The 9,327-nt window shown below is 53.8% G+C and overlaps 1 long non-coding RNA gene across 1 annotated transcript, besides 2 other annotated features; it reads left to right on the forward strand.

The window, feature by feature from the left end:
• The first annotated feature begins 1,697 nt into the window (after window positions 1–1,697).
• Window positions 1,698–7,067, forward strand: LOC105375799 (uncharacterized). The gene is made up of 4 exons (XR_928737.3): window positions 1,698–2,948; window positions 4,497–4,619; window positions 6,425–6,497; window positions 6,799–7,067. It is a non-coding gene; the product is annotated as an uncharacterized LOC105375799 (long non-coding RNA).
• Window positions 7,626–8,126: an enhancer, noted in NCBI's record as "H3K27ac hESC enhancer chr8:144751216-144751716 (GRCh37/hg19 assembly coordinates)". NCBI's record gives its function as "activates a minimal SCP1, AML or CMV promoter by ChIP-STARR-seq in naive H9 embryonic stem cells {active_cell/tissue: H9 hESC(naive)}" and the evidence as "EXISTENCE:reporter gene assay evidence [ECO:0000049][PMID:30033119]".
• Window positions 8,127–8,627: an enhancer, noted in NCBI's record as "H3K27ac hESC enhancer chr8:144751717-144752217 (GRCh37/hg19 assembly coordinates)". NCBI's record gives its function as "activates a minimal SCP1, AML or CMV promoter by ChIP-STARR-seq in naive H9 embryonic stem cells {active_cell/tissue: H9 hESC(naive)}" and the evidence as "EXISTENCE:reporter gene assay evidence [ECO:0000049][PMID:30033119]".

The following is a 9,327-nucleotide window of genomic DNA, read 5'->3' on the forward strand; positions in this document are numbered from 1 at the left end:
CACTGTGGCCCTGTTTGCTGGTGCCTTCCTGCTCCTTCACTCGCCTTCGGGGCGCTGTGGCCCTGTTTGCTGGTGCCTTCCTGCTCCTTCACTCGCCTTCGGGGCGCTGTGGCCCTGTTTGCTGGTGCCTTCCTGCTCCTTCTTCACTTGCCTTCGGGGCACTGTGGGTCTGTTTGCTAGTGCCTTCCTGCCTCTTCGCTTGCCTTCGGGGCACTGTGGCCCTGTTTGCTGGTGCCTTCCTGCTCCTTCACTCGCCTTCGGGGCGCTGTGGCCCTGTTTGCTGGTGCCTTCCTGCTCCTTCACTCGCCTTCGGGGCACTGTGGCCCTGTTTGCTGGTGCCTTCCTGCCCCTTCGCTCGCCTTCGGGGCACTGTGGCCCTGTTTGCTGGTGCCTTCCTGCCCCTTCGCTCGCCTTCGGGGCACTGTGGCCCTGTTTGCTGGTGCCTTCCTGCCCCTTCGCTCGCCTTCGGGGCACTGTGGCCCTGTTTGCTGGTGCCTTCCTGCCTCTTCGCTTGCCTTCGGGGCACTGTGGCCCTGTTTGCTGGTGCCTTCCTGCCTCTTCGCTTGCCTTCGGGGCACTGTGGCCCTGTTTGCTGGTGCCTTCCTGCTCCTTCTTCACTTGCCTTCGGGGCACTGTGGCCCTGTTTGCTGGTGCCTTCCTGCCCCTTCGCTCGCCTTCGGGGCACTGTGGCCCTGTTTGCTGGTGCCTTCCTGCCCCTTCGCTCGCCTTCGGGGCACTGTGGCCCTGTTTGCTGGTGCCTTCCTGCTCCTTCTTCACTTGCCTTCGGGGCACTGTGGCCCTGTTTGCTGGTGCCTTCCTGCCCCTTCGCTCGCCTTCGGGGCACTGTGGCCCTGTTTGCTGGTGCCTTCCTGCCTCTTCGCTTGCCTTCGGGGCACTGTGGCCCTGTTTGCTGGTGCCTTCCTGCTCCTTCTTCACTTGCCTTCGGGGCACTGTGGCCCTGTTTGCTGGTGCCTTCCTGCCCCTTCGCTCGCCTTCGGGGCACTGTGGCCCTGTTTGCTGGTGCCTTCCTGCCCCTTCGCTCGCCTTCGGGGCACTGTGGCCCTGTTTGCTGGTGCCTTCCTGCCCCTTCGCTCGCTGTGCTGCAATGTGGGCATGTTCTGTGGGTTTGTCTTCAAGTCCATTGACCTTTTCTTTTGCCTTTGAGGTCTTTTTTGTTTGTTTATTTTGTTTTGTTTTTATTTCTAAAAGGTCACCTTAGGTTCAGAAGCCTTTGTGGTCTCATGTTCATTCCACCATTGAACTTTTCATTTCAGATGTAGGTTTTTCAGCTGTAGAAGTTCTACTGGATTCTTCTTTATACCTTTCATTCCTTTCCTCATTACCACGTTTTCCTTTAAACCTGTGAAATTACTCATTTGGCTTTTTAAAAGTTCTTATCTGCTAATTCCACCATCTTTATCATGTCTGGATGTTCTTCAGGGTTTTGTTTTGTTTTGTTTGAGATGGAGTCTCACTCTGTCACCCAGGCTGGAGTGCAGTGGCGCGATCTCAGCTCACTGCAACCTCTGCCTCTCAGGTTCAAGCGATTCTCCTGCCTCAGCCTCCCGAGTAGCTGGGACTACAAATGCACGCCACCACGCCCGGCTAATTTTTGTATTTTTAGTAGAGATGGGGTTTTGTCATGTTGACCAGGCTGGCCTCAAATTCCTGACCTCAAGTGATCTGCACACCCAGCCTCCCGAAGTGCTGGGATGACAGGCATGAGCCACCACACCCGGCCTGGATGTTCTCCAGCTGATGGATGTTTCTCTTGGCTATGGGTGACATTTTCACCTCTGTGTGTTTAGTAATTTTTTTGATAGATATTGTGAATGTTACATTGTTGAGGGTCTGAAATTTGTCTTCCTTTCAAAATTATTGAATTTTTTTGCAGGCAGCTTAATGACTGTAGATCAGCTTAGTCCTTTGAGGCTTGTTTCTGAGCTTGGCTGAGGCTGGTCTACAGCGGCCTTTACTCCAGGTTAGCCGTGCTCCTGGTAGGGCTGGACCCTTCGCAGTTCTCACTGAGTGCCGCCACTGGGCAGCAAGGCCCACCACTCTGGCTCATCACACTTTGAGCACCTCCCAGGCCTGCAAGCTATTTGGGGATTGTCTGCTGTCAGCTCCCCGTGGCTTGTGGCCTGGCCCCATGGTGTGTGCAGCTTAACGTTCATCCAAACACTCATGGCAGCACTGGGGACTTCCTCTTCATGGGTCCCAGTTTCTTTCTCGTACTGGACCCCATAAATGCGAGCCTTCTGTACCTCCCCAGAGTCCAACCTCTGCCTCCTCAACTTAGTGAGTTGATACCATGCCTGTGTTTCCCCTTCATATGCTGTATTCTAGAAAATGCCACCAGGCAGAGAGCTGGCATCATGGGAGGTGCCCCCCCCATCTCCATCCTCCTGGGCAGGTCACAGCACTGCACCCTCCAACATCTAACAGCAGCTGTTGCATGGATTTTGTCCAGCTTTCTAGTTTAGGGCAGGAGGGCAAGTCCAATACTTGTTAATCATGGCTGGAAGGGGAGGTCACTGTACCATTTTTTATGTAACCGGTAAATATAAATTGGTAAGGAGTTGACAATCCTATTAATTTGGAGTCAGCTACCTGGTGGCTATCAGTCTCATTCTCTCTCCTGCCCACCTTTCCTGCCTGTGTTCCTGGCGTTCTTTTTGAAAGCAGGCTGCAAGCAGTCACATCGTCACCCTGGGGCATTTCCCTGTGCTTTGTGCTGCCTGGAAGAGCTCATAGCCAAGGAAGGGTGAAGACGGCGCGCTGCGGTGTGCGGCTTCTAGGCTGTGGAGCTCTAGTGTTGCCTTTTGGGTTCAGGGACCCACTGGGCCACTGTGAGGTGGGCTGGAGCTGCATTTCACCGACTGCCTTGCTGCAGGAGCCCTGCTCTGACTGGAGGGCCACAGAGCACACCGGGCCCCCCCGTAAGCCAGGTACGAGACTACCCGTCTCCTGCAGCAGGGCTCGGGGACCTCCCCATGGAGCCACAGGCATGGGCTTGGGGAGAGGCCCAGTGGAGAATAGAGGGTGGCACGGGGACCTGGGCCATCCTTGTGCCTTCTGGACCTGCCCAAGCCCAATCTTGGACTCCACTTCCATCTCCCAGTAAACTCCTGACGGCCCCTTGGATGTGCGACTGGTAGCTCCGACAGCACCCAGTCACGATGGGCAGCGCCAGTCTCATAAACACCGTGGCCTCCACGGTCAGGGCCCGAACACTTGCCCGCACCACCTACCAGCTGGTGGAGTCCCCTGAACATGACGGGGCCCTGCGCCGGTGGCCTTGGGCCTGGGCTGCACATCCTGCACTGAGGCTCGTCATGGGCGCCACTCGTGTCTTTGCCACACATGTGAAGCCTGTGGGAACTTCACGGCCACATGACCCACGTGGCAGGACTGCCTGTCACCCAGCCTGGGCCTGCCTCAGCCCCTTCCCTTGCTCCAGACCCCACTCAGAGCCGACGGCTTTCCCTCTCCCCCGCCAAGGGCAGAACATATTGCCTTCAAGCCCAAAGAGGCATCGGGCCTGCCCCAGCACCCTACAGGCCACCGCACCCTGAGAACATTGCTCATGGGGCAGGTCTCTGAAGTGTACGGAGTCTGCCTCCTGCCCTCCACAGCGCCCGTGTTTTTCTGAGGCCATCAGCGCACCTGCTATCTCTGCATGAGTCCAGTGCCCATTAAGGCATCCACTGAATGGGCCAACCTTTGCTCGTGGACCATCCAGTGGGTCAGGCCTTTGGGCCATGTTGGGACGAGGCACCCCACTCGGTTCTGGAGCGACCGTACCTGTGTGCCGCTGTTGGCCCCGCGTGGGCAGGAACTGCTCCGATTCCCCTTCCAAACAGGTTTCGGAAATGATGTGTTTATCAGACCAGTAGCCAAAAACCACATGCACGTGGCCACATCAGTCTCTTCTGGAAAGACCATGTGGATGGCCACAAGCGTGCCTCAGCTACTACTGTTTAAGCCTGTGGTAGTCCACTGCTGTCCACCACGGTCATGCAGCTTCCGCAGGGGTTGGGTTTCCAGATTGTAAGGCGGGTGGGGACAGGCAGATGGGGACAAGGGGGACAAGAACAAGAGGGACAGGGACAAGGGAGTGTATGGGGACAAGGGGAATGGGGATGAGGGGGATGGAACAAGGCGGGTGGGGACAAGAGGGACAGGGATAAGGGGGATGGGGACAAGGAGGGCAGGGTAAAGGGGGATGTGAATTAAGGGGACAGGAACAAGGTGGATAAGGGGACGGGGACAAGAAGGATGAGGACAAGGGGGATGGGGATGAGAGGGATGGGGATAAGGTGGGCGGGGATGAGGGGGACAGAAACAAGGGGGATGGGGATGAGGTGGGTGGGGACAAGGGACAGGAAGAAGGTGGGTGGGGACGAGGGGCACAGGGACTAGGGGCACTGGGACGAGGAGCCTGGGGACGAGGGGGATGGGAGCAAGGCGAGTGCGGATCTTTTACGTCTTCACAGGTGGCCTTAACGCCTGCCATTCTCCACAGAGGGTAGAGTTGCAGGAGCTTCCACTTTGATTTTCCCACTACAAGACTCACTCTGTTGATCAAGGAACCAGTTGAGGTTTTGCCCAGTTGCCAGGTGTGTCCAAAGTGATTTTGTTCCTTTCACAGGACATTCTGCCTCCCTGACAGCGCGGGGGATGCTTCCATGGCCTCCACAAGTTATAAAATACTCCAACACCAGTAGTATGTTAGTTACACCAGGGTGCCATTAAAAATACTGCAGAGTAGGTTACTTAACAACAGAAATTAATTATTCTCTCACAGTTCCGGAAGCCAGAAGAGACTAAAGTGTCCCAGGTTGGGTTTTGCCGGAGGCTCCTCTCCTTGGCTTGCCGATGGCCGCCTTCTTGCTGTGTCCTTGTGTGGCCTCCCTCCCTCCTCCGTGTGCACACACATCCCATGCTGTATCCCTGCGTGGCCTCCCTCCCTCCGTGTGCACACACATCCCATCCTGTGTCCCTGCGTGCCCCTCCCTCCTCTGTGTGCACACACATCCCATGCTGTGTCCATGCGTGGCCTCCCTCTCTCCGTGTGCACACACATCCCATCCTGTGTCCCTGCGTGCCCCTCCCTCCTCTGTGTGCACACACATCCCATCCTGTGTCCCTGCGTGCCCCTCCCTCCTCCGTGTGCACACACATCCCATGCTGTATCCCTGCGTGCCCCTCCCTCCTCTGTGTGCACACACATCCCATCCTGTGTCCCCGCGTGGCCTCCCTCCTCTGTGTGCACACACATCCCATGCTGTGTCCATGCGTGGCCTCCCTCCCTCCGTGTGCACACACATCCCATCCTGTGTCCCTGCGTGCCCCTCCCTCCTCTGTGTGCACACACATCCCATGCTGTGTCCATGCGTGGCCTCCCTCCCTCCGTGTGCACACACATCCCATCCTGTGTCCCCGTGAGGCCTTCCTTCCCTCCATGTGCACACATATCCCATCCTGTGTCCCTACGTGGCCCTCCCTCCTCCGTGTGCATGTACATCCCACGCTGTGTCCATGCGTGGCCCTCCCTCCTTCCTCCATGTGCACATACATCCCATGCTGTGTCCCCTCGAGGCCCTACCTCCCTCCATGTGCACACACATCCCATGCTGTGTCCCCGCAAGGCCCTCCCTCCCTCTGTGCAAACACACATCCCATGTCTCTCTGTGCATCCAAATTTCCTCCTCTTAGAAGGACCCTAGTCAGATCAGGTTAGGGCCCACCCAAAGGCCCCATTTTAACTTTACTACCTCTTTAGAGGCCCTATCTCCAAATCCAATCACATTCTCAGGTACCGGGCATTAGGTTCAGCATTTCAATTTGGGGGGAAACAAATCAACCCATAACAGGTGGATTTCCCAAAGCCTGCATTATTCAATTGTAATCAAACACACATTATTATGTATTTTCCCTGTAAAATAAGAGACAAGATCCAGGCTTGGTGGCTCAGGTCTATAATCCTGGCACTTTGGAAGGCTGAGGCAGGCAGATGCCCAGGAGTTTGACACCAGCCTGGCCAACATGGCAAAATCTCGTGTCCACAAAAAATACAAAAATTAGCCAGACGTGGCGGCATGCACCTGTTGTCTCAGCTACTCAAGCAGCTGAGGTGGGAGGATTTCTTGAGCCCAGGAGGATGAGGTTGCAGTGAGCCAAGATCGCACCACTGCTCTCCAGCCTGAATGACAGAGTGAGACCCTGTCAAAAAAAAAAAAAAGGCAAGGTTTTCTTCCAAGTGGGAAGAAAGATGGTGGATAGGATTTTTACGGAGTGTTGAAAGAGCTACTTGGAGAATCAGAAAGAAGATTAGTTGTTGGGAGGCACAGAGTGAGTACTGAGAAAACCAAGGGCCCAACTGAGGCTTGAAACTGCCAATTCTCCATTTACTGTCTTTCAGCTTCAAATACATACTTCATCGCCTGCTTGGTGAAAATGGAGCTGGGCCCTAAATTGTTTCTCCTTTAAAGCAGGTATGACGTTAAGCTTTGTAAGTAGAGGGCACTGGAGGGACCCTGCAGGAGGAAAGTGCTTCTCTTCCTGTTCTGCACTTTCTTCTGTTTTCTTCTTGTTCCTGCCATGTGGCTGCCAGCACACTCAGTGTTGCTCACCCCCAGCCAACTTCACTTGCAATGCCATGGGTGGATCCCCGTGAGTCTTGCAGATGCTCCACTGGTCAGCATCCAGCCTCAGCCTGCCCCAGAGAGGTGTTTCCTGCTTGCCAGTCCTGGCCAGGCTCCCTACCTGCCACCTTCAACCCCTCTACACCTGCAGGAGTGATTGCCCATTGACTGTGGACCAGCTCTGGCTACGGGAAAACCAGAGAACCTCTCCATCATCCATACTGCACCAAACAGCATCTCTGCAACCACACCTTTTCCAAGATTTGAGCCCCAGCCTTGGGGAGGAGGCCATCTTTCACATTTTCTCCTTCCTTGGGAACTCTCTGTCAGCCCAGAGTATTCTTTTGCATTATCTTTAGCCCTGTACAGATAATTCCATTATAGTAAATAATCCTTTATATTAAACGTTCCTTGCCCAAATGACTGTGCAGTTTCTGTCTGCTGATTGATTGCGCCCTGATGCAGAAAGGTAAAGTAACTTGACATGTTGCACAGCTGGCCCACACAATCACACAGCTGAGACTGCACAAGGACAGCTTCCTCTCAAATGTGTTGGAAATAAGAGCTTGGAGTCGCAAAGAAAATGAGCACTCAAGGCTGGGCGCGGTGGCTCACACCTGTAATCCCAGCACTTTGGGAGACCAAGGTGGGCAGATCACGAGGTCAGGAGATCTAGAGCATCCTGGCAAATATGGTGAGACCCCGTCTCTACTAAAAAAAATACAAAAAATTAGCCGGGCAAGATGGCGGGCACCTGTAGTCCCAGTTACTCGGGAGGCTGAGGCAGGAGAATGGCGTGAACCCAGGAGGCGGAGCTTGCAGTGACCTGAGATTGCACCACTGCACTCCAGCCTGGGCAACAGAGCAAGACTCTGTCTGAAAAAAAAAAAAAAGAAAAGAAAGAAAAAAAAAAAAAGAAAATGAGCACTCAAATACTAAAAACACACACAAAAAATTAGCCAGGGCTGGTGGTAGACACCTGTAATCCCAGCTACTCAGGAGGCTGAGGCAGGAGAATCGCTTGAACCTGGGAGGCAGAGGTTGCAGTGGGCCAAGACTGTGTTACTGCACTCCAGCCTGGGCAACAAGAACAAAACTCCATCTCAAAATACAAACAAAAAAAAACTTCCACTGGCTTTTTTTTGAGTGCTCACAAATTTGCCTTCTCAGCAAGGCAAATTTACTTCTGCAGAAGAGTGCCGCTCTCTCTTCTGGCCACTGGGAGAGCACACCGAACAAAGCAGGGCAGGGGTGTTTATCCCTAAAGCAGTCACGCCCTGCTACTGTGTCCAGTCCCCATTGGCTGGAGTCGCACCACACCATCTAAGCCGATCCCCATTGGCTACTTCAAATGGATCAGGGGCGGCTACAGTGGCCAAATAAGGAACAGATGTGGGTTTTACAGGTTGGGCTGCAGATTGGGAACAGATGTGGGTTTTACAGGTTGGGCTGCAGATTGGGAACAGATGTGGGTTTTACAGGTTGGGCTGCAGATTGGGAACAGATGTGGGTTTTACAGATTGGGCTGCAGATTGGGAACAGATGTGGGTTACAGATTGGGTTATAGATTGGGAGTGGCTGGAAGGTTGTTTGCTGTAAAGTGGAACCTTTGAAGAGGAACTCACTGTATCTAACAAATGTAAATCCAATTATGTCGAGTCTACTTCAAAACTTCCTGCCAGGTGTGGTGGCTCACACCTGTAATCCCAGGAAGTGGGCACGTTTTCCATGGCCAGAGCAGGAGGAGGAGAGGAGTGGGGAGGTGCCACATACTTTTTTTTTTTTAATTCTCCAATTTAAAACTTTTAGTTAAAAAGTAAACTTTAATGTTGAAAATGCAAACTTGGGGCAGGTAGAAAGATTACACACAAGGCTATCACTTCACATTTGGAGGGTTGCACAGCAGCCGGGCAAAGGCGCTCCTCACTTCCTAGACAGTCGGGGGACCCGGGCAGAGACGCTCCTCACTTCCCAGACAGTGGGGGTACCCGGGCAGAGGTGCCCCTCACTTCCCAGACGATGCCGAGGCTGGGGTGCCACATACTTTTAACAGACCAGATCTCAAGAGAACTCACTATCACCAGAAGGGCACCAAGTGGGAAATCCGCCCACATGATCCAATCACCTCCCACCAGACCCCACCTCCAGCATTGAGGATGACAGTTGACATGGGATTTGGGTGGGGACACAGACCCAAACCATATCACTCCTGAAGAGCTAGGACTACAGGAATGCTATACCTGGCTAATTGTTTTTCTTTTTTTCGTTTGTTTGTGTTTTTTTTTTTTTAGATGGAGTCTCACTCTGTTGCCAAGGCTGGAGTGCAGTGGTGTGATCTCAGCTGACTGCAACCTCCCAGGCTGGAATGCAGTGGTACAATCTTTGCTTACTGCAACCTCTGCCTCCCGTGTTCAAGAGATTCTCCTGTCTCAGTTTCCCGAGTAGCTGGGACTACAGGCGCCTGCCACCACGCCCAGCTAATTTTTTATTTTTAGTAGAGACAGGGTTTCACCATATTGGCCAGGCTGGTCTTGAACTCCTGTCCTCAGGTGATCCACCTGCCTCAGCCTCCCAAAGCGCTGGGATTACAGGAGTGAGCCACTGCGCCTGGCCACACCTGGCTAATTTTAAAAAAATTTCTTGTAGAAATGAAGTCTCACTATGTTGACCAGGCAAGTGT

Source organism: Homo sapiens, chromosome 8 (genome assembly GCF_000001405.40).
Source record: "Homo sapiens chromosome 8, GRCh38.p14 Primary Assembly".
In the NCBI taxonomy this organism is placed as follows: domain Eukaryota; kingdom Metazoa; phylum Chordata; class Mammalia; order Primates; family Hominidae; genus Homo; species Homo sapiens.